Raw genomic sequence first — 25,642 nt, 5'->3', positions numbered from 1 at the left:
GCCCGGCTGCGCCGGGGGGATGGCACTGCGAGGTGGCGGGGCCCCCGGGGCAGAGCTCGAGGGGAAGGACGCGGCGGGTGGCACGGACAGGGACAGGCTTTTGCAATTCGGAATCTTTTCGTAAGGGGGTTGAGGAGGAGCCAGGCAGCGCCGAGGGCCGAGAGGGGCGTGAGGGGGAGTGTTCCCGGAAAGCTGCGGCGTTGGAGCCGCGCTGCGCCTGCCGCCCGAGGAGTTGAGAAAGAAAACAGGAAACGTGGTGGCCGCGCACCCGGCCGCGGCTGATTCATTCACTTCAAGTGCCGTGCAGAAGGCTCGGCAGGCGGGGCGGGCGTGGGGCCGCGGCTCCGGGTTGGGGACCGAGGAGATCCGGCTGTGGACCAGACGCTCCTCTGCGGGGCGGGCACCCAAGCGCGCTCGCCACCCCCTCGCCATCCGCTAGAGCCGGGCTCCTGGACTGGGACTCGGGCCCGCCGCACAGTTGAAAAGTCGCATAGTGGTTTTTCCGCTCGCGTCGCTGTGTGAAAGTTGGCTCGCCGCTCTTTGCACGCCCTCCCTGGAGGCCGACCCGAGACGCCAAGCTGGAGAGACCGTGCCTCCCCGAGGCCGGCCGCCCCGCGAGCACAGCCTCCGCCCCCGTTGCACTGCCGGGCTGGGCAATATGAAGGAGCAGCCCTCATGTGCCGGCACCGGGCATCCGAGCATGGCGGGGTATGGCAGGATGGCCCCCTTTGAACTCGCTAGCGGACCCGTGAAGCGCTTGAGAACTGAGTCCCCCTTTCCCTGTCTCTTCGCAGAGGAGGCCTACCAGAAACTGGCCAGCGAGACCCTGGAGGAGCTGGACTGGTGTCTGGACCAGCTAGAGACCCTACAGACCAGGCACTCCGTCAGTGAGATGGCCTCCAACAAGGTAAGCCCCGGTTCTGCTGTCACTGGTGCCCCCAGGCTGCTGATTCCCATGCCGGCGAGCCACTGGTACCCATAGCCCCGGGAAATAAATTGAGAGGTTTTTTAGGCTTACTGCATGTTGGCTATTCTGCTCCTTAGAGGGAGGTTCCTGTTTCCTTGCTTTGCCTCCCCTAGTCACGCCAGATAAACATTTTCCAAAAGCAATTTGACGTGCTAAATTTAAGTATCTCCCAAGACACAGGGTTCCTAAGTAACACTGAGCCCTTGCAGCAGAAACCCAGTAGGGTCCATGGGCATTGCATGTTTAAAGGTGTTCTTGGGATTCCCGGTTGAAAATAAGAATTGGTGGATGTCTGTGAAATCACTTGAATGTCACCACCTAGGGCACTCAAACTCAGAAGAGTTCATCGAACTTGGAACCTTCACCCTAATTCATCTAGTTGTCAGGGTACCCCGCAAGAACTGAGCCTTTATATATTCAGTTGGCCATACATATCCGCAGGAAACATTAACAGAGTTAGAAGGTTCCTTATGATCATTACTTTTGTTTCCATTAATCTTGGAAAGAAAGCCCAGTTTTTTGAGGTCATTTAGTACAAGGAGGCTTCAACTAGGCATCTGTGCCATATGTGCTAAGGTGCTGGTCTTGGCAGTTAATGGAGTTTTGAGGGCTGAGAAGTAACCTTCAGCCTGGGACAGCCTTAAAATAGCACGGAAGGCAAGGTATAGTGTTTTCAGTTTTGCTGTATTTTTTGGATTTCCTGTTCTTTTTGTCTTTAGTTATGCAAGGAGATAATTGGAATTGTGTATGTTTTTAGTGGCTATTTGCCTGTGCATGTCGTATGCAGATGGCTGAAGGATTCAGCCAGTAAGGACTGGTAATGTTGTGAGACAATTAGTAATAGTTGCCTCGTCAAGATATTTAAGTATTTTTGGCCACCTATTTACAAGGTCAAGAAGGTTATATTATCTTACAGTTCATCTATGTGCACATATCTTTAAATGAGTGATGCTTTTTTTTTTCTACCTTTCTATGGTTTTTATCCCACCTGTTCTCATGCAGTTTTTACAAAAAGGCCACGGCATAACAGCCACTTGATTGTCTTATCTATTAACAGTGCTTTTGTAGGTAGCATTGTCAAGTGAAAAGTTGGCTTCAAATAAATAAAAGGGGCTCTGTAGACACGGCCAGCAGATACTAACCTACCCATATGCACACTGACCTACCCATGTCCACACTGATGATCAATTTTTTTGTCATTTGTGCCTCATTTCTAAATTTGGCACAGCTCCTCATCAGAATGACCAATTATTGCTCTCTTACTGGGACTTTTACCCCCTGCTGTAGCATTAGGCACCTTTATTCTCATCTGAGTAACAAATTCTTAGTTTTATAAAATATAGTTTGTTTTCATAATTTGATTCTCAATAGCAGTAGACATATGCTGAATATGTCCAGTGTCCTAACTGCTAAATGGGAGCACTTTGCCATGGGCCTGAGTTCTTAATTCTATTGTGTGGTTGATTCTGTGTAAGAAAATGAAGAGCAGAATCAAAAGCCACTTAGCAATGTGCAAGCATTAGTGTATATTTTCAAGGTGATTCGACAGTAGTTTTTCAGCTAAATGAATTTGAGCAGCTAGTTACTTTCCCTAAAATCCATATTCTTAATGTTGAGATCTATGTTTGGATTTAAAACTGAATGTGAAATTTAATAATGTATTGTAAATGACTTCAGCTGTCAAGGAATTAATCTATACGTTAAGATTTAAAAATTTTTTAGGTCATAATAATTGCCTAAAATGATTCCTTTCTTTTAAAGGCACCAGATAAGACAGGGATTTAAAAAAAAAATCTTTATTATGAAGGCCCCAGATTAGACTTTGAGTTAATTTACAGGTTTAATAGGAGAGGTTGGTCTGTTTGGTTAAAATGAAATCTAGGTAAAGTGAGAAGATAATTTTTTCAAAATGTAGTCATTCTAGCAATGTTTATGTCTTGTGGCTGAAAAATTAGGATATTTTTTCCTAGCCCACGACAGAGCTGAATTGAAAAATTATTGCTGTCACACTAATTTTTAACATTAAACTTAGCTCAGCTTAAGCTGTTGCTTAAACTTTTAATGTCCAAGCCATTCGTGTCTTCTTTAACTTATTTATTTCTAAATCAGTGCTAAGCTTACATGACTGTTATAGACAAAAAAGGGTTAGCACAGAAAGAAAAAAAAGCTCTTGCTAAAGGTTGTAAAGTTACCCTTCTTCTTCATAACAAGGGCATGAATAAGCCACATCCACAAAAGCTGTAAACTGAGTTGGAGCAGCTGATCGGAAGGCCCCTGTGAGTGTTGCCACACCTTCAGTCTGAACTGGAAATGTGTACAGCTTGCATCATCTCCACTCAGTTATTTGATATTTCTTGAGTATGAATGAATGAGTCAGAAACATTGCTTTTCAGTTGTTAGTTTTATTACCATCCATTCTTTTTACATACACGTGTTCAAACTGATATTTTCAGTTTATTCTCCTTTAGCCTTTGAAAAATTATGACAGTTTTCTGTGTTCTCTCTTGAGGTTTTAAAAAATTTACTCTAATAGATTGAAAAGCACAATAAAAACACTAGTAAGAGATCAGGATTTTTAAATGGTGATAGAGAATACTTATTATGGAGATGGATTTAGGTATTAGGAAGGAGGAAACTGATTCCTCAAACCCATTTAACAAACTGGGTTAACACATTATTTCTGTTTCTTAGACTTCTCAATAAAAGGCATCTTAGCCAATTAGCAGCTTTTAAATGATGCTCTAGGAGCAACTAGCTGTATTTCCTGTATTGGTATTATATATGTTTCTTGCTTGTTGATGGCATTGAAGCAGGAAAATTATTGAATTCTTGGCCAAGGCTAGGGTTGGCTGTAACACATGTAGGATGCTTGTACCAAGTAGGGTAAGAGATTCCAGATGGCATTTAATTTGAGTGATTAAATCTATGGCATTTACCCTTATAAGCACATTAATCTGCCTGAGATTTGTACAGATTTCCTTTGGAACCTCATTGCTACAATTGAGGGTAATTTTAGTGAGGTCTCAAAGCTTTGGAGGCAGGCAAACCTGGAAGTTGAATTATGGTTTTGTTTCTTGCTAATGGAGTTACATTAGAGAAATGACTTCAATTTTTTTTAGCTTCAGTTTCCTTAGCATACAATGGGCACCATAATAACTATCTTGAAAAGTCAGTGTAAGAGTTCCAAAGAATATATACAAAAGAGCTAGCTAATATAGTATCTGACAATAGTAGGCACTGTATCTGTTGTTATTGCTATTATTTGGGTTTTAGGTCAAACTTCATTGGTTGCCTACGTGGCTAAAATGTCTTTTTACCATTCGGTTGTAATTTATACCAGACACTTCAAGTTTGATGGATTTTTATAATTCTTAGATAACTGTCTATAGCGCACATTTCTGTATCATAAAAATGCTTAAATTATATTTACAGTTTTTGTGGTATAATACAGACATGAACATTCTGAAGTTCTAATTAGAAGTTTAGGCTTTTCTTAAATTCCAGTTACAGAATGCCAGACAGAAGAGCTAACTAAGTACTTTTCCTGTTTTACTCTAAAACTGAAAATGCAGACCTTACTAATTTTTAGAACATGTGAAATGTAATAAGGGTTAGTGGTCAATGTGCCTTTTCAGTAAAACACCTTTTAAGCAGAATAGTTTCACCATGTTTTTGGTTACCTTTCTCTCATGGAAAGTATATTGAGGATGGGAGTCAGTAGAGAGGAGAGCAGGACAGCGGCCTGGGCCTCAGGGCTTTCAAGGATTATGCTATGGAACCCTGTAACGTTATCCTCTTGTGACCTAATAATGCACATTTCACCAGGCCTTCCCTGTAAGTTCAGTGAGGTTCAAAGGAGAAAACGAAATCATTTTGAGTTATTCCCAAGACATATCACTATAAAAATGTATTTTGTTTCTGCTCTAATTTTGGGGGCAGTTTGAGGTTTGGCATGGCTGGAAATGACTGTGTTTCAAGCTGAAAGTCTGTCTTGAAGTTAGAATCCAGACCCTTTCTAAGAGACTTCAGATTTTTCTATACTTCATTCCAAATATACTTAGGCCAGCTTTACAAATGTGGTCATGACTTCTTTATGGAATTTATTTTGTGTATTTGGCTTTTGGCAAACCTCTCTAGCATGTTTCTGTTGCCTATAAATTAAATTGCTTTGCTGGGTGCTTTGTCTCAGAGCTTTCTCTGGCTGCTCCCCCTACTGCTTTGTAATAGTCAATGCAGAACATATAGTAGGACTTTTTGTTGATGTATTTTCTTCTGGGCAAGAGGGGTGTTATAACAAATATAGGATCTTCATAGAAGTGGCTAAATCTTAAGATATTTCCACATTATGCAACTACAGTGTAACTCAACAGATATAAATGTTAAACTTTTGCTAAGAAGGAAACTAAGTTAATTGGAAAAGGCATGTTAGTTTTATAGAGAGAAAACAGCCTCAGTTGTTTTCTACATTAACATATTAAATCTTAGATTAAAAAAGTGTTAATATGCCTAAATACAAACTTTAAATTTCAAAAGAAAATATCTTCTATAATTATAGAAAATCAACATTTAGATGTTTTGAGTTCGATATCTGCTTTTTCATCTACTCAATAAAGGTAGATTTGGGAAAGATTTATGTAGCTTACATGTAGTACCTTAAAGTTAATATGAAAGATTGAGAATCCTATAATCACTGTTAGAAAAAATACTTTCTTTGCTTTTAAGTAATAATGGAAGAGGGAAACAATTTTAAAGGAAATTTTTCTTTCACTGAAAAGTAGAGCCCTTGATGTTACCTTAGCATAAAACTTAGGATTAAAACAAATCTTAACTTGTCTCTGTTGTCATCCGTTCAGTTCCTGTGCCAGTATTTAGTGAAAGTTTAATTATTCCCAACATTTAATTATCAAAAACTCCTAATTTTTAATTATTCAATAAATTAATCATTACTAGATAAATTTCTTTTTTTCAGTTACATTTTGACTTAATATTTGGGGTAGTAGTGGTAACTTCTGTCTGAGAGCATTATGAACTGTCTACGTTTTCGAAAAAAATTCCGAAACATAAGGATTGCCCATGATAAAAGAAGTATTTTTTCTAATGTTATGGGTAGATTAAACAAACTGGTATTTTTCTAGAGAGAAAGGATGATAGATAATGCTTTTGTTCAGTTTAAGAAGATTTCTGCGATAGTTACATAGACTGTAGCTATCACTTAAGATATAAATACATGATGGATGTGCAGTGCTGTTTATGTCATTATTTTCAGTGGATTCACAAAATATGTAGGGTTTGGTTTTCTCTTTTTCAGCAGGAGGGACCAACTCTTTTTCTAGAACTGTAGATTGCTGGGGTTAATTTTGTGATAGCGTAGCTCTAGTAGGGGAGCAGTTTTTACATGGCTATTTGTTGTAATAGTTTAATTGACACTGTTAGTCTGAGATCTTTCTAGAATGTAGAGAGATCAGTAGCACTTTATTTTAATATTCACATTAGTTTTGAAAGGCATTTGAAGAAGACTTTTTTTATTCCCTGTAACAGGGATTGGGGGGTATGCCTTGATATTTGCTTAAACAACAAACAATTCTGCTGCGTCCATTAGGAAATTAGTTAAGTTCAGTGACCAACTACAATGACAATAGGTTTATTATCTTTTACTCTTAGAGAATAGTTTATCTTTTATAAAGTATTTATTATTATTATTTAGTATTCAGAGCTTCTTGTTTTTGTTTTGTTATACTTTGTATGTGATAAGGATGAATGATATTTACTCCCTGGCCTGGAGTAGGCACCAGTGATACTTACAGCAGCTTTGTACAGTGAAAAGAACATAAATGTTTTTCATTAGGCAAACTTGGTTTCAAATTCCAGCTCTGTTGTTTCCTATCTAATATTTTGGGCAATAGGCCTTACCGCTCTGGAGCTCAGTTTTTTCATTTATAAGTGGCGATAATGAAAGGGGAAAATAAAATGAAAAAGTTATTGAGACCATTAGCTATAATGTATGTAAAGCTCCGTTTGGTGCATTAGCACACACTGGGTGCTCAATAAATTGCATGTGCTTGCCTGTCTAGAATATACTAAAAAAGAGAGATTAAGAAAAACTCTGTGTCACATATTTCTTGCAATGTAAAAACATAATATTTCTTAGAAGAAAAACATGACTTTTCTATTCTTTAAGAATTTACAGTCCAAATTAATGTTGCTCAAACTTTGTCATTTTTGAGACAGAGTCTCGCTCTGTCGCCAGGCTGGAGTACAGTGATACGATCTCAGCTCACTGCAACCTCCGCCTCCCAAGTTCAAGCAATTCTCCTGCCTCAGCCTCCCGAGTAGCTGGACTACAGGCGCATGCCACCATGCCCAGCTAATTTTTGTATTTTGAGTAGAGATGGGGTTTCACCATGTTGGCCAGGATGGTCTCGATCTCTTGACCTCGTGATCCTCCCTCCTCGGCCTCCCACAGTGCTGGGATTTTGTCATTTCTGTGTACATTCATATCTGCTATTATATGTTGAATGTTTTAACTTAATGTATTTTTTATTAATCTTTAAAATTTATTTGTCAATTATTCTTAATTGACAAATATTAATTGTATCTATTTCTTGGGTATAATGTGATTTTTAAAATGTGTACATCATAGAAAGATTTAGTAAAGCTAATTAACATATCTATATTACCTCACCAATTTATCTTTTTGTGATGAGAATGTCAAAAATCTATTTTAGAAATTGTAAAACATATAATACGTTATTAATTACTGGGGTCTCCATGCAGTGCAATAGATCACTAAAACTTATTCCTCCAATCTAACTGAAATTTTGTACTGTTTGATCGACATCTTCCATTTCTCTCTCCCTCCTCCTCTACAGCCTCTGGTAACCCACCTTTCTACTCTCTGTTTCTGAGATCGACTTTTCTAGATTCCCCATAAAGTGAGATCATTTATTAAAGACAATATTTGTCTTTCTGTGCCTGACTTATCTCACTTAGCATAATGTCCTGTAGTTCCATTCCATGATGTTGTGAATGACAGAATTTCTTTCTTTTATAAGGCTGTGTAATCTTTTTTTTTTTTTTTTTTTTTTTTTTTTGAGGTGGAGTCTCGCTTTGTAGCCCAGGCTGGAGTGCAGTGGTGTGATCTCGGCTCACTGCAAGCTCCGCCTCCCAGGTTCATGCCATTCTCCTGCCTCAGCCTCCTGAGTAGCTGGGACTACAGGCGCCCGCTACCACGCCCCACTAATTTTTTGTATTTTTAAGTAGAGATGGGGTTTTACTATGTTAGCCAGGATGGTCTCGATCTCCTGACCTTGTGATCGGCCCGCCTCGGCCTCCCAAAGTGCTGGGATTACAGATCTGAGCCACTGCGCCCGGCCTGTATAATCTATATATATATATATATATATATAATATATATATATATATATATATATATATATCACATTTTCTTTATGCACACTTGATGAACACTTAGATTGCTTCCATATCTTGGCTGTTGTAAATAAAGCTGAAATGAATATGGGAGTGCAAATATCTTTTTGATGTACCAATTTCAGTTCCTTTGGGTGTATACCTAGAAGTAGGATTGTTGGATTTTATGGTAGTTCTATTTTTAGATTTTTGAGGAACCTTCATACTATTTTCAATAATGGTGGTTCTAATTTACATTCCCACCAACAGTGTAGAAGGGCTCCCTTTTCTCCACATCCTTGCCAACACTTGTTATCATTCATCTGTTTGAACATAGCCATTGTACATGGTGGAGAGCAACACATACTGGGGTCTGTTGGCGGGTGGGATGGGTGCAGGGAGAGCATCAGGAAGAATGGCTAGTGGATGCTGGGCTTAGTGCCTAGGTGATGGGATGATACGTGAAGCAAACATGGCACATGTTTACCTATGTAACAAACCTGCACATCCTGCACATCCTGCACATGTACCCCTGAACTTAAAAGTTGAAGAGAAAAAAAAGGAAAATAGTCATTCTAACAGGCATGAGGTGATAGCTCATTGTGGTTTTAATTGCATTTCCCTGAGAATTAGAGATATTGTTGAGTTTTCGTTTGTTTTTGAGACAGGGTCTTGCTCTTTTGTTCAGGCTGGAGTGCAGTGGCGTGATCATGTCTCACTGTAACCTCAAATTCTCGGGCTCAATGATCCTGCCTCAGCCTCCCAAGTAGCCAGGACTACAGGTGTGTGCCACCATACCTGGCTTTTTATTTTTTCGTATAGAGAGGGTCTTGCTATTTTGCCCAGGCTTGTCTAGAATTCCTGGCCTCAAGTGATCTCCTGCCTCAGCCTCCCAAAGCACTGGGATTACAGGCATGAGCCACTGTGCAGGGCTGGGGAACATTGTTTTTTTTTTTTTTTTTTTTTTTTGTATCTCTGTTGGCCATTCATATTTCTTTTTTGAGGAAAGTGTGTCTATTCAGATCCTTTGTCTAATTTTAATCGATTTGTTTTCTTACTATTTGGTTGTTTGAATTTTTTATATATTTTGAATATTAGCCTCTTATCAGATGTATGGTTTGCAGATATTTTCTCCTGATCCATGGGTTGTCTTTTCACTCTATTATTTGGTTGCTTGTGCAGGTACTTTTTAGTTTAATGTAGTCCTATTTGTCTATTTTTGTTTTAGTTGCCTGTGCTTTTGGAGTCCTATCCAAGAAATCATTGCCCAGACCATTGTTGTGGAGATTTTCCCTTATATTTTCTTCTAGTAGCTTTACAGTTTCAGGTCTTATGTTTAAGCCTTTATATCTCTTTTGAGTTGATTTTTATATGGAGTGTGAGATAAGAGTACAGTTTCTTTCTTCTGCAGGTGGACATCCAGTTTTCCCAACACTATTTGAAGAGACTGTCCTCTCTCCATTGTGTGTTCTTGGACCCTTTGTCAAAAATCAATTGACTGTAAATACTTGGATTTACTTCTGGGCTTTCTATCCTGTTCCATTGGTTGATGTTTGTTTTTATGTCAATAACATGCTGTTTTGATTACAGTAGCTTTATAATATATTTTGAAATGAGGGAATATGATGCCTGCAGCTTTGTTCTTTTTGTTCAAGATTGCTTTGGCTATTAGGTCTTTTTTTGGTTCATATAAATTTTAAGATTTTTTTCTCTATTTCTGTGAAAAAAAAAGACATTGGAATTTTGAAAGGAATTGCATTGAATCAATAGAGGAACTGCATTGAATCTATAGATGGCTTTGGATAGTGTGGACATTTTAACATTACTAATTCTTTCAGTGCATGAACATGGGATATCTTTTCATTTATTTCTGTCTTCTTCAGTTGTTTAAATCAATGTCTTGTAGTTTCCAGTGTATAGATCTTTCACCTTGTTGGTTAGATTTGCTCCTAAGTTTTTTTTTTTTTTTTTTTTTGTGATGGAGTCTCGCTCTGTTGCCCAGGCTAGAGTGCAGTGGCGCGATCTCGGCTTACTGCAAGCTCCACCTCCCAGGTTCACGCCGTTCTCCTGCCTCAGCCTCCCAATTAGCTGGGACTACAGGCGCCTGCCACCACACCTGCCTTTTTTTTTTTTTGTATTTTTAAGTAGAGATGGGGTTTCACTGTGTTAGCCAGGATGGTCTCGATCTCCTGACCTCATGATCTGCCCGCCTCGGCCTCCCAAAGTGCTGGGATTACAGGAGTGAGCCACCACGCCTGGCTGCTCCTAAGTATTTTTTTGATGCTATTGCAAATGGGATTATTTTCTTAATTTCTTTTTTGGATAATTTATTGTCAAAGTATAGAAATGCTAAGAGCAACTTATTGTTAAATCTAAATACTCACCCAAGTGCCTCATCTTAAGTAATGGTATACATGAAATCATAGGTTTGATGTTCAAGTTATATTTTTTCTGTATTTTTTCTAAAATTAATGAATAACAAAATGAGAAAACATTCATCTTGCACCACCTTAAAGCATTTTGCCTACCATTTACTAACACTGGGCATACTTTTGGACACACTAGTCTAAATCAGCTGCAAGAACAATTTAGAGACTAATTTATTGTTTTAAACAATCAACATTTTTCCTTCTTTACCCTCAGTTGGATTTCTCCACTAGAGGAGAAAATGGCAAATTCGTTCAGCAGAAATATTCCAATTCATAAAATATTCATTCCTTAGGCAGAATGGTCCGTGGATTTAGAGCACCCTACTATAGACAGCCTGCCTGAATTGGATTCATTCTCTGCCTTTTACCAAACGTAAATTGGGCCACGTTGCCTTCTGTGCTTCAGTTTTCTCATCTGTTAAATAGTTGCTGTGGTGATTTAATGAATTAAAAGATGGGAATTGTCTCGACTGAGTCAGGAATCATACTAGATACTCAGTAGAACTCATTCATTTCCATATGTGAAGGAATAACATTAGTTTTTATTTTATTATTTTGGGGGGTGAGGGTTAGAGAAGGGTGTCTGCCATCCTGATTTCTATCCTTTTGATAAAGTGACCTAATAATATTGATACTAACCAAAGAGGACTATTATAATGTTTTATTTACTCTTCTCCCCCATTAATCACTTTTTTTGGTGGTGTTTTATATGTTTTATTCCTTTATTTTCATCCTTCAAGGAGTTTGCCCTTTGTTTCCTTCTGTAATTTTACAGTATAGCTCATCAAGCAAGCCTGAGATTTTTGTCAGAATATCTGAAAATCTCTGAGCTTTTTCTAGCAGAAATGCATAATGCAGTGCAGAAGAATAGTCTAGCCAGTGTTTTTCATAAATGAATGTACATACGTTCTTCCTCTGCATAAGACTGAAAGTAACCCAGGCACACAATATCTTATTAATATTTAATATTAAGAAAAGTATATTAAGAAGGTAACTCTCCATTCTACCTCTCAACATCTTACCATCTAGTATACACACAAATATTTCCTTGCTCTATCAGCCGAGAGGGTCTAGAAGCTACCATACCCCAGTAGCAATGAGCACACTTAGCACCCTCATTTTGGTTTCTAATACCATTCTCTGGTAAAAGGAACCAAGACTCTTTGAAAAAAAATAGCTGATTTCTAGGGACTCAGGAAGGAAATATGTAAGATGAGCCTGGAGCATCTTGTAGTGCCAAAAAGTAAGGACCTGCTCAAACAAATGGAACCCTACACCCGTGGGAATATACTGAAGAGTTGCAAGAGCAAACTGAAAGAGCTCCCAATGGCCAAAGCTAGAACAATTTGAGCAAGAAAATAATATAGTATTGGATTATATCCCAAAGGGTAAAATAAATATCCATAAACCCATATTGATACAATTTATTAAATAAATACCTAAGTGGGGGAAAATAGACAAATCTCCTCCTGTGCGGAATTCCCAATAACTTCTATAGATACTCTACTCTCAAGGAGGGAGAACATAACCCCCTACACCGTAAGTGTGAGCTGTGCATATTGACTTCCTTCTAAACAGTACAGTGTAGAAAGGGAAAAAAAAGAAACTGTAGTGGAGAAACCTATCACTACTTCAGCCAGGTTATCAAGGTCAACATTGACAGTGATAAGTGATAACATGTACCCTCGATATGATCTGATGAAAATGGCACTTTTAATCTGTGGTTTCCCTACTGAAAACATATAACCCCAGTGTAATCATGAGGCAAATACCAGACAGATCTCAGTTGAGGGATATTCTACCCTCGAAACTTGACCAGTATTTGACCAGTACTCCTCAAAACTGTCAAGGTTATCAAAAACAAGGAAAACCTGAGATACCTACAGCCAAGAAGAGCCTCAGGAGACATGAGGACTAAATATTATGTGGTATCCTGGATGGGATCCAGAACAGAAAAAAGGAAATTACGTGAAAACTAAGGAAATCTGAATGAAGTGTGGACTTTGTTTAATAATAATGTATCAGTATTGGTTCAATAATTGTGACAAATGTGCCATACTAAAGTCAGACATTAAAAATGGGAAACAGTGTAGAGTATATAGGAATTATCTGTAATGTCTACACAAGTTTTCTGTAAATCTAGATCTGTTCTAAAACAAAAAGTTTTATTTAAAAGATCGAAGCCATCTTTTAAGGCCTATCTGGAATGTTACATCCTTTATAAAGCCTTTTTTTTTAATCCCATCTTCTTCCCATCCTATATCTGGGGTGTCCTATGTCTCCCACCTCAGGCTTTCCTAATTGGATACCTTTGACTTTCCACAGAACTTTTATTTGTAATTCTCTTAACTCTTAGTACAATATTTTGTGTCTCTGTTTTATTGTTCTGATGAGGTCTTCTACGGTGTTTTTAGCCCAACCCAGTGAGTGTCTGGTGCCTTAGACCACTTGGCCATCCTGACACCCTACACAGTGAGTGTCAATATAACATTTTGTAGTTAGTCACATAAATTAGTACAAGAATGCATGATGTTGGTTAATGCAAATGCTGTTTTTTACCTTGTATTGGTAGATGGAGAGTCTGAGCATTCTACTTTGTGCCTTTCAAGAAAGGTTTTTTTCTTTTTCTTTCAGTGACAGGAATCCTGAGCATTTCTCACTTAATCTCAGTTCTGCTTTTAGATACTCATGTCTCAGAAATTTTATCATAGTATATGCTAGATCAATCTCATCTCGTTTAAATTAAAAGTTTGTAGTGCACAGGCAAAAACCATAGAGGCCATATTCATGGTCATAAACTGCTCTTTCTCATCTCTACCTATTTTAGCAATAACATTCTTCTTATTAGTTTGTTCCAAGTGAAAATGACATAACTGAATACTTTCCCTGCTAGTCTGGGAAGAAAGGATGTGTTTGTTGGCTTTTGCCTGTCAGAGAGTATTCTGCAATGTTTGCCTAGGGCATGCTTGCATTCCCATCAGCATCTCTGGTCTGCTGCACTGTAATCCCTATAGGGACAGCCTCTGGCTTTTATTACTGACAAGCAGTGCACTGTGCAGCCATAGGCACCATAATAGGAAACACCTTGGCCTGTCATAAACAGGTCTGGAGAGTAGAAAGTACAGGCCTGCTGGGGATGTGTCCATAGCAAAGAGGCAAAGATGCGGCTGCCATATTGGAGTAAGTGCAGGCTAATGTCTGCCATCTCCATTTCAGAAAATAACTGGCTGATTTTGAAGCTGCTTTTTGTATAAACAGTAGTGTTTTGGTTGCTTTTTGTTTTTGGCTTAAATATGAATAAAGCCATCTTAAAGAGATTATACCCTTCAAAGTATTTTGAGAAGATCTATAAAGTATTTTCCTTTTGTTATTTTACATTTAATTCTACCTGATCATTCCAATCCAAACCCAATAGAGAAGGAAAAACAGATATTTCACTATAGTGGGAAATTAGGAAAAAAAGAACCATGCAAAAATACAAGTGATTGTGTGTCTTTTAAAAGAATTACAAATCACACTGAATTACCCAAAATTACAAAGAAAAGTGCATTTATTATTAAGGTAACTTGTGTTGTCTGTGCCTTTACATCAACTCCAAGTTTTATAAAAGGAGTACATTCTTTGACCATAAAGACTTTATATTTGTTAGTGTTTTTTTCAATCTTTAGGGAAAAAATGAACTGCAATATTAATGATAGGCTTTGTAGCAAGAATTTAGGAAGACAATAAATTTCAAAATTGGAAGGGTTATCACAGTTTTTAATAAAGAGATAAAATTATTTCATGAGTGCTTTAAATATATATAGGTGTCATTTTATTATTTACAAGGAAACCCATTTCACAAAAGAGGCTAAAGACTGTAAAGATTGAACAAAGCTATAATCCTGTTAAAAATTAAGATAGGTTTAGGAAAACTAAAGTCCTAATTTTTTTTTTTTGACCACTTTGGCCAGAGCTGTTCATAAATTAGGTAATCAATATTTGTTGACTAGTCCCCTCCCTTGTTAAAAACTAAACACTTGTCCTCTTGTATCTTTTTTAAAAAAATATTTCAAGTAAGTTTCAACAGTATGCTGTGATAAGGATGAAACCTATTAACATTATCCTTGGTATATATTTTGATTTTCTGTTGTTTTCTTAATCTTATATTGTCAGTATGGTTTCTAAGATCTAAGATCTCCATAAGGGTAAGTGATAATTGGGTTTTGATAAATCATAAGGAATCTTCTACTAGAAATATGTCTGTTTATTTATTGTACATCAGGAAACGATTAGTTTACTTTATGCCAGAAGATAATGTTTGGGCCTAAATCTTAATTTTTCTATCTAGTGTTAATACAGTAGAATGCCTAAAGGATATATAGAAGAAAAGACAAAAAAAGAAGATGAAGAGAATGCATCATTACAGACTGAATCATCAGTCCCTACAGAAGGGGAATTTGTTCTTTCAAAAGTAGAATTTCAGCAGCCGGGCGTGGTGCCTCAAGCCTGTAATCCCAGCACTTTGGGAGGCAGAGGAGAGCAGATCACGCGGTCAGGAGTTAGAGACTAGCTGGCCAACATGGTGAAATCCCGTCTCTCCTAAAAATACAAAAATTAGCCAGGTGTGATGGTGCATGTCTGTAATCTCAGCTACTCGGGAGGCTGAGCAGGAGAATCACTTGAACCCAGGAGGCAGAGGTTGCAGTGAGCCAAGATCGTGCCACTGCACTCCAGCCTGGGTGACAGAGCAAGACTCTGTCTCAAAAAAAAAAAAAAAAAAGTAGAATTCAGCTGGGCATGGTGGCTCACACCTGTAATCCCAGCACTTTGGGAGGTCGATCACATGAGGCCAGAAGTTTGAGACCAGCCTGGCCAACATGGCAAAACCTGGCCTGTACTAAAAATACAAAAATTAGCCAGGTGTGGTGGTGCATGTCTGTTATCTCAGCTACTCGGGAGGCTGAGCAGGAGAATCACTTGAACCCAGGAGGTAGAGGTTGCAGTGAATGGAGATGGCGCCACTGCACTCCAGTCTGGGCGACTGAGTGAGACTCCATCTCAAAAAAAAAAAAAAAAAAAGTAGAATTCATGGGAAAAATTATTTGTTGCTATTTAGCCTTATTTTTAAATATTTCAGTATATTGTCTGTTTGATACATATGAACAATCTGACTACAACTCATTGGGAAACACCAGTATTTACCTTACCTTCTAATGTAAGGCATGATTCCAGGTATTTTCTCATACCTCAAACCTTAAATCTCTAATTTAGTCCCAGAAACAGTATTCTACATGTCAAAACGTTTTTTGTTTTGTTTTGTTTTTGGAGACAAGTTCTCACCTTGTCAACCAGGCTGGAGTGCAGTGGCGCCATCATGGCTTACTGCAGCCTTGATCTCCCTGGCTCAAGCCATCCTCCCACCTCAGCCTCCTGAGTGGATGGAGCCACAGGCATGTGCCACCAGACCGGCTTTTCTGTTTTTTAATTTAATTTAACTTTTTTTTTTTTTTTTTGTAGAGACAGGGTCTCACTATGTTACCCAGGCTGGTCTCAAACTCCTGGGCTCAAGTGATCCTCCTGCCTTGGCCTCCCAAAGTGCATGAGCCAGTGCACCCAGCCTCAGAATATTTTTAAAGATGAAAACCTAATGCTCAGTTAAACTTTTATAAGATCTATGTGCTTCTAAATAAGTGTAAAGATGACTATTTTCTGGATGTTGTATTGGTGGGGAAGATGGAGAGATAGAAGAACAAGTGTTTATTCTCTGGTTGTATTTTCTCTCTCTCTCTCTTTTTTTTTTTTCCTTGAGTTAGAGTCTTGCACTGTTGCCTGGACTGGAGTGCAATGGCGTGATCTAGGCTCACTGCAACCTTCTCCTCCCAGGTTCAAGCAATTCTCCTGCCTCAGCTTCCCAAGCAGCTGGGATTACAGGCGCCTGCCACCACGCCTGGCTAATTTTTTGTATTTTTAGTAGAGACAGGGTTTCACTATGTTGGCCAGGCTGGTCTCGAACTCCTGACCTCGTAATCTGCCCACCTTGGCCCGCCAAAGTGTTGGGATTACAGGCGTAAGCCACTGTGCCCGACCTCTGGTTGTATTTTCAAAATATATCCAAATAATATTTTAAAAATGTATTTAGTGAGCACTAGATTCCAAAATAGCAAGAGCAATTTCAGCAAAGTATAATTCCTAGAGAGGAATCCTACAGTACCTCGTTTTGCCTTTTTTGTTCTCTAGGTCATGTCAGGATGGGAGCATAACTGACCTGGCCCTAGTTCCTAGGAGGAGCATGTGCCCTCTAACATGTGCACAGAAGGATAATAGGGTCAGTGGGATGAGGAGACCAAGTGACTAAAGCAGATCTGAGAATCTGAGCTGTAAAGGATTTGGAGGTGGGATGGAGGGATAAAACCTTAGTGGGAAGCAGACAGCAGATAGAGAAGATATAGGATAAACTCACGGAAGGTGTAAGCAGGTTCATGATTTTAAAATTAGCCTGTTAAGAGGTTGTGTTGGAGGTCTGTTTTCTTAGTGGGGGCAAAGTGGCAAGGGAAGTTTCACTTCTGAATAGGGTGGAAAATGAAGATATAAGGAAAGAAAGAGAGAAAGAGGAAAGACGTATTAGGCAGTGTGAGGCAGAGAAAGAGAAGAGTGGGAGAAGGAGGGGAGTCAGACTTTCCTTGGCTGGAGGCAAACTGACCAATGCCCGTTGCTGCCCCTTTCCACCGCAGGGTTCATTTGGTGAAACCTGGTTGGACTGAACCTTTAGGAGAACCTTGAAGTAAAAAAGAAATCCCAGACAGGTCAGTGGCGGATGTAAATGTTTAAGGAAGAACAGACAGTCAGCTGTAGAAATGGAGGGAGGGGTAGAGCTGACTGGAGAGCGATTTATGGATGGTATATTTCATGAGGCTTGAGTCTTTTTTAGCACTAATAGTTGGCGTCAGCTTCACCTGTTGCCTCCATGAGTCATGCCCTGGTAGCAGAGGATGGTGGGCCAACTGCCAAGCCATCCCCTGAAGGACCGGCTGCCTGGGAGTGAGGAAAGGTGGTTGATGGGCTCTGAGACAGCAAGGTACAAACTGAAATGGGGTGAAAAGAGACTGTCAAAATAAGTATGGGCTGATTTGTTCTAATATATCATAGGTTATTATTAGATGCTGGAAGAGTAAAATGGAATAGAAGATGAAAAATGTGAACCTTTATCTTGATTCCATTTTAAATCTCCTAAATTCTGAGGAGCTTTGCAATTCCTCTTCTGGATATAAATCTGCCCTACAGTAGAGTTGCAACCTTGGATAAATAAATAAATTTGGCCTCCCTGAGCCTCTGTTTTCCCTGTAAATCAGGACTAACATAATCTACCTCAAAGGATTGTGTTGAAAATTAAGTGAAAACTTACATAAATTATGTAGTGTGGTGGGGACATATGATAGGTACTGTGGCCTATCCTTAGGAGGGATGAGGAATGGAACTATTTTTAAACATAAAAGGTCAACTTTATATGCTGCCATATAAGTAACCCAGTGCAATTGGAGCTTGAATCAACAGGGCTGGGAGAAAGCTTACAGAGTGTGCCTTTGAAATCCCAATACCCAGTCATGGTGATTTATGAGACCTTACCAGCTTGCATATGTGATGGCCCACTGAGTTTGTTTACTTTAGTTTTAGCTCAGTTACCCAGCACTCTATGATAGCCTATTTTTTATTTACACTCTCACTAACTCCTTTATTATGATTTCTTTGAAAGAATATGAAGACAGCCATAAAAAAGACTCTTATTGAAGTTGAGAGGGTCTCCTGTAGGTCTTCACTTCACTGTGTCTAAACATTGGTCTGTTGCTTGTGCTTTGCTTTTCTCTCACCCTGGATGACCTTCAAGGCTCTTCCAAATGATTTCTCTGATTCCCTGAAATACTGAAATTGTGATTAACAGAAGTTTCAAGTGTTAATCAATATCAAGATAGTAGTTGTCTCTTCCTGGGGAAACTAGAAATGAAAACCAAACATAGGCCTCTGTAATCATTGCACAGATTAAAAATGAAAATGCAGCTGAGAAACAGAGGAATGAATGAGAAAACCCTAAACCTAGTTCTAGCCCCAGGATGAGGTCTTTGTCATGAGTCTGACGCTAGCCACAGCCGGTAAGAGAAGGAATTCCCTAGTAGTGTAGTTGTTACAAGGGAATGAGTCATTTTGCAGGTAATTGTTCTTCTTCCATTTTCCACTTGCTGTCAGCCACTTTACAGAGGAGTCGGACTTTGTTCTGCTTAAGAGAAGTCTCTTTCCTTTTATTGTTTAAAAAAAAAAAAAAATTCCAGAAGCCCTTAGAAAGAGATTTGTGAGATCAACTGGTTTACCTTCTTCATTCAGATGAAGTAACAAAGCACAGAAAAGTTATTTTGTCAAGGTTTCTGTCTTGTAGCAAATACAAACTTTCTGGTGTTAAACATATGACCCTGATTTGGGTCTTTACTGACATCATCACTTTTTTTTTTTTAATTTTCTGAGACGGAGTCTTGCTCTGTTGCCCAAGCTGGAGTGCAGTAGCACAATCTCGGCTCACTGCCACCTCCACCTCCTGGATTCAAGTGATTCTCCTGCCTCAGCCTCCTGAGTAGTGGGTATAACAGGTGCATGACCACGCCCAGCTGTTTTTTGTGTTTTTAGTAGAGATGGGGTTTCACCATGTTGGCCAGGCTGGTCTCAAACTCCTGGCCTCAAGTGATCTGCCCACCTCAGCTTTCCAAAGTGCTGGGATTACAGGTGTGAGTCACCACACCCGGCCAACATCATCACTTTTGAATGAAATTTTTAGTTTGGTGATGACTTTATTATTTGTATTTGATCCTTGTCCATTTTTCTCTAGATCTGGTACTAATTTCATGTGGAAAATAAATCGTTAGGAGGTTTTCATTTTGTACGTTTTGGCTGCAAACAACCACAACCCAGTCTTTAGGTTTTCACTGAGGGATTTTTGTTTTAGCCCAATTATTGTATGACATGTATCTGCTCCAGAGGTTCTTATAGGTGAAATGAGATTTTTATGTATCTGTATTCAAACACATAGATAGATAGATAGATAGATAGATAGATAGATAGATAGATAGCGAAACATATAGACATACCTCTGAAAATACAACCAGCCATATAATGTAAGCCTGTTGTGTGTTAATGAATGATAGGGTAATAATACATTATGTTCCTGTCCTGTAGAGGAGTTCGAGTATTCAATACAGAGGACCAGAATGATTGGTCCCAGAAAAAGTGCTCCTTAAGCTGGATCTTGAATACTGAGGATTTATATAGGCATCTAATAGGGAAGAGGTGGTATTCCAGGGGCTGGATAAGGCAGGGTAGGATGGGGTATTCATGTGGATTCGCTTTATTGTATGTTTGCTGGAGAGGAGGGTAGTGGGCATTCTGGAGGAGTGAGCCTCTCTGGAACAGAGGATGTGATTATAGGACCAGTGGCAGGTGTGAGAAATGTAGATTGAGGCCATACTGCAGACTGTCTTAAATGCCAGGTCAAGCCATTTGCACATTGTCCTATAATTCATGAAGAACCCTTACATTTGACTATAAGGAAAATATTATGAAGAAACTAAAATAAGGTGACTTTAGAAGGTTATATCTGGTGGTAGTGTGCAGGATAGATTATATCAAGGGGAAATTGTACTGAAAGCAAGAAGAAACCGTTAGGGAATTAGGTGTAAGAGTGATAAGGGCCTGAAATAGGATAGTGATGAAAAGAGAGGAATGAGTAGGAGAAAGATTGCACAGAGAAGGGTGACAGCATACATAAGACTTGGCAGGACCACAGCCAGAAGAAAGCATGAAATTCTAAACCTGAATAATGGACAGAATTATAGTTGGAAAATCATGAAGAGAAGCCAGTTGGGTATTGGGGGAGGGCTGGACAATATGACAGTTAAGTTTTTAGACATATAATTTAGGTAAGGCTATGTATCTAAGCGGAAATGCCCTATAAGCTTTCAGTTGTCAGGACTGGATTTCTGGTTAAAAAAAAAAAAAAAAAGAGGGGGCAGGATTTTACTTGGGTGTTGTCTGCAAAGTTGATAGCTAAGACCTTAAGGCTCATCTGTGAAACGGGAGTGACAGTGCTCATTAAAGGTTATTATTAGAAATAAATGAAGTAATTCCAGGAGAGTACATAGGACTCTCCTTGACACATAGTAGACCCTCAATAAACATTAGGTTTTATTATTGTTTATTATGGGTTTTAGGGAACAACACTTTTGTGAATTATTAGAACCTTATTTGGGAAGCTATAAAAGCCATCTGCGTGATGTGTTTTCTTAGTACACCAAATGGAAGTTCATATGTTCCATTCATATACATGCTTCCCTAGCTGTTAGGGGAAGGTGATAGCGCATGTTTAACTGTTGATCACTGTTTGTAAGGCTTTTCGTGTTTTTTACATATTTGGTTAAGGATCTTAATCCTTGAGCTGTATTTTGTTCTCATTTGTTTGTGTCCAGAGTCAAATTAAGTTTAAGGAATTTATAAAGAGCTTCTTTGCAAGAATGATATTAACTCAATGTACTAAAGCTACATTCACCCAAAGTGTAATAGACTTACACAACATGGAAGAAATCCAGGAGAGGCAGACAGTTATTCATGAAGAGTGGTAGTATTCCTGTCTGCCTGTCTGTACATTTGTCAGATCAGTGCATTCTGAGAAAATTATGCCAATTTGAAATCTCCAAAAGCATTCTCAGCCAGTATCCGTGATTCTGATAGTTTACAAACTGTTGATAGCATAAGCTGTTAGGAAGATATTGTAGAAATTTTAATGCAGCTGTTTTAATTAGATTGCTTTCCTTATAACAAGTTTCAGTGTTTCTGGTCACAATACAATTTATTAGCTCCTGACACATGACACTGCTGGATCACCAACCTTAACTCTGATTCTCTCCATACAACCCAGTATCCTTAAGTAAAATGCTGCATATTTCATTGCTGGTAAGAGAGGCAGGGCCAAGATTCGAACTCACATGAAGCCAACTAGAGAAGCCTATGCTCTACACTATTTTACATCTCATAATTCTCATACACTACTAACCTGTTGCAAATGAAAAAGAAGTCTTATTATTGTACCACTTTTAATTGCACTTATTATTGCCTTCAGTAAAGTCTTCATTTCTAAAATGTCTTAGTAAAACAGTAATTTCATAAAAATATTGCCAACTAGGAGTACTAAATTCTAATTTTGGTTATATTATGCGGCCTTGGATAAGGAAGTTTCTTAGGCTTTCATATTCCAAATTATTGGACTATTCTAAAAACATTTTTAAGTATTTTGATGGATGTAGTCTATTCTAATATAATGTCTTTCAAGTGTTTGAAAGTTACTACTTATTCAAAACTCAACTGTCTGGCAGCTTTTCTTATCCTGAACTCTGTGAAGAACTTCGGGGACAGGAGGTAAAATGTCTTTGAAGAGTAAGAAATCCAAAACTTCATGTATTTACATGTTCTGGTCTTGTCTCATAGGATTCTTCTTTCTCCTTACATACCCTCCTTTAAATCCGTACCTCCCCCGGTCTTCTCCATCTTGCAAATGGCACCAATGTCCATCCTAGACATTGATCATCCCAGAAGTCTAGGAGTTGATTCTTCTCATTTCTTCAGTTCTGTTGTGCAAGTCTTCAAGTCTTGTCAGTTTTGCCTCAAGCACTTTTACAAACTATCCTCTACAGAGACAGCTTTACAAAATGTAAATCACATCCTATCATTCCCTGCTCAGAACCTTCTAATGGTATCCTCACACCCTCTGGAAGGCTCATACCCTCAGGACCCACGTGATGTTGCCTTGACTTGCCTCGGCTCTCATTCCGTAGACCTGTCCTCCCTCAGACTGGCTGTGTTACTCAGCCTTTGTTGAGAGTGCTGTGCCCCAAATCTGGTTGGCTTATTCTAGGCATTCGAGTCTCTTCCCAAATACCACCTTCTCAAGTGCAGCTTTTCCTTACTACTTAATTTTATAGTCCCCCATCAATGTACGATGTTACCCTCTTTTCCTTCATTGAGAGTGTTTGTAATTTTTTTTTGTCTGCTTGTTTATTGTCTTTTTGCCCCATAAGTCCAAGGTTTACATGAACAGGGAACTTGTCTGTTTTGTTTATTACTGTATCCCCTATGCTGGCACATACTATGTAATAAGTGTTTGTTGAGTGCATGAGTGAATAACCATTCTAAAAAACTCTGATGTTTAAAGCCCTTTGCTTTATATAAGAATTTTACTTGGAACCCTGGTATTTTCGTTTGTATTTGTTTGTTAATAAATGTCAAGAGTTCAGTAGTAAGATAGGTTTCAGAAATGCTAAGTTAAACAGAATAAAGAAAGAATATGTATTACAGGTCCTGGCAGAGCCTTGAATATGCTAACATTTGACAGTGGGAGTCTTTGAGAATTATCACATGAAGCTGCTGTACATTACAACACATTCTAGGAAATGCTGTCTTAGACAAAAACCTGTCATATTAGAATTGGGGTAAGGGGCACGATACTGACCGTGAGGCAGCAGATTCCTATGGACTACATTAAAAAAAAAAAAAAAAAAAAAGAACAGACTGATAATCTAGGGCTCAGAAAAAAAAAAAAACTGTGATATGAAACAGTGGCAAAAGGATTCAAAAAGAATACAGCGGTTGGGACTATCTACTTTTTTAATTTTTTTATTACACTTTAAGTTCTAGGGTACATGTGCACAATGTGCAGGTTTGTTACATATGTATACATGTGCCATGTTGGTGTGCTGCACCCATTAACTCGTCATTTACATTAGGTATATCTCCTAATGCTATCCCTCCCACTCCCCTCACCCCACAACAGGCCCCAGTGTGTGATGTTCCCCCATCCTGTGTCCAAGTGTTCTCATTGTTCAATTCCCACCTATGAGTGAGAACATGCGGTGTTTGGTTTTCTGTCCTTGCAACAGTTTGCTCAGAATGATGGCTTCCAGTTTCATCCATGTCCCTACAAAGGACATGATGAACTCATCCTTTTTTATGGCTGCATAGTATTCCATGGTGTGTATGTGCCACATTTTCTTAATCCAGTCTATCATTGGTGGACATTTGGGTTGGTTCCAAGTCTTTGCTATCCTGAATAGTGCTGCAGTAAACATACATGTGAATGTGTCTTTATAGCAGCATGATTTATAATCCTTTGGATATATATCCAGTAATGGGATGGCTGGGTCAAATGGTATTTCTAGTTCTAGACCTTTGAGGAATTGCCACACTGTCTTCCACAATGGTTGAACTACTTTACAGTCCCACCAACAGTGTAAAAGTGTTCCTATTTCTTCACATCCTCTCCAGCACCTGTTGTTTCCTGACTTTTTAATGATTGCCATTCTAACTGGTGTGAGATGGTATCTCATTGTGGTTTTGATTTGCATTTCTCTGATGGCCAGTCATGATGAGCATTTTTTCACGTGTCTGTTGGCTGCATAAATGTCTTCTTTTGAGAAGTGTCTGTTCATATACTTCACCCACTTTTTGATGGGGTTGTTTGATTTTTTCTTGTAAATTTGTTTAAGTTCTTTGTAGATTCTGGATATTAGCCCTTTGTCAGATGGATAGATAGCAAAAATTTTCTCCCATTCTGTAGGTTGCCTGTTCACTCTGATGGTAGTTTCTTTTGCTGTGCAGAAGCTCTTTAGTTTAATTAGATCCCATTTGTCAATTTTGGCTCTTGTTGCCATTGCTTTTGGTGTTTCAGACATGAAGTCCTTGCCCATGCCTATGTCCTGAATGGTATTGCTTAGGTTTTCTTCTAGGGTTTTTATGGTTTTAGGACTAACATGTAAGTCTTTAATCCGTCTTGAATTAATTTTTGTATAAAGTGTAAGGAAGGGATCCAGTTTCAGCTTTCTACATATGGCTAGCCAGTTTTCCCAGCACCATTTATTAAATAGGGAATCCTTTCCCCATTTCTTGTTTTTGTCAGGTTTGTCAAAGATCAGATGGTTGTAGACATGTGGTATTATTTCTGAGGGCTCTATTCTGTTCCATTGGCCTATATCTCTGTTCTTGTACCAGTACCATGCTATTTTGGTTACTGTAGCCTTGTAGTATAGTTTGAAGTCAGGTAGCATGATGCCTCCAGCTTTGTTCTTTTTGCTTAGGATTGTCTTGGCAATGCGGGCTCTTTTTTGGTTCCATATGAACTTTAAAGTAGTTTTTCCAATTCTGTGAAGAAAGTCATTGGTAGATTGATGGGGATGGCATTGAATCTATAAATTACCTTGGGCAGTATGGCCATTTTCATGATATTGATTCTTCCTATCTATAAGCTTTGTGTCCTCTTTTATTTTGTTGAGCAGTGGTTTGTAATTCTCCCTGAAAAGGTCCTTCACATCCCTTGTAAGTTGGATTCCTTGGTATTTTATTCTCTTTGAAGTAATTGTGAATGGGTGTTCACTCATGATTTGGCTGTTTGTCTGTTATTGGTGTATAGGAATGCTTGTGATTTTTGCACATTGGTTTTGTATCTTGAGACTTTGCTGAAGTTGTTTATCAGCTTAAGGAGATTTTGGGCTGAGATGATGGGGTTTTCTAAATATATAATCATGTCATCTGCAAACAGGGACAATTTGACTTCCTCTTTTCCTAATTGAATACCCTTTGTTTCTTTCTCCTGCCTGATTGCCCTGGCCAGAACTTTCAACACTATGTTGAATAGGAGCGGTGAGAGAAGGCATCCCTGTCTTGTGCCAGTGTTCAAAGGGAATGCTTCCAGTTTTTGCCCATTCAGTATGATATTGGCTGTGGGTTTGTCATAAATAGCTCTTACTATTTTGAGATACATCCCATCAATACCGAA

At 38.8% G+C, this 25,642-nt stretch overlaps 1 protein-coding gene across 27 annotated transcripts in view, besides 1 other annotated feature; it reads left to right on the top strand.

Annotated features, from left to right (window-relative positions):
- Nucleotides 1–25,642, top strand: part of PDE4D (phosphodiesterase 4D) — a 1,553,091-nt gene that overhangs the window by 1,482,363 nt on the left and 45,086 nt on the right. For 25 of the 27 annotated variants that reach the window (XM_024446112.2, XM_024446110.2, NM_001364599.1 and 22 more), the window contains one exon: nt 795–907. In XM_024446112.2, coding sequence (XP_024301880.1) covers nt 795–907 — 113 coding nt within the window. Of the gene's footprint in view, nt 1–289; nt 908–25,642 lie in introns of those variants that run through there. The other 2 variants (NM_001197221.2, NM_001197222.2) reach the window with 2 other exon arrangements.
- Nucleotides 562–631: a silencer, noted in NCBI's record as "silent region_16036". NCBI's record gives its function as "represses an Ori minimal core promoter by ATAC-STARR-seq in GM12878 lymphoblastoid cells {active_cell/tissue: GM12878}" and the evidence as "EXISTENCE:reporter gene assay evidence [ECO:0000049][PMID:35858748]".

Source organism: Homo sapiens, chromosome 5 (assembly GCF_000001405.40).
Source record: "Homo sapiens chromosome 5, GRCh38.p14 Primary Assembly".
NCBI classification, from domain to species: domain Eukaryota; kingdom Metazoa; phylum Chordata; class Mammalia; order Primates; family Hominidae; genus Homo; species Homo sapiens.
Note: the sequence above shows the minus strand (reverse complement) of the source record. Positions and strands in the feature narration are given on the sequence as shown.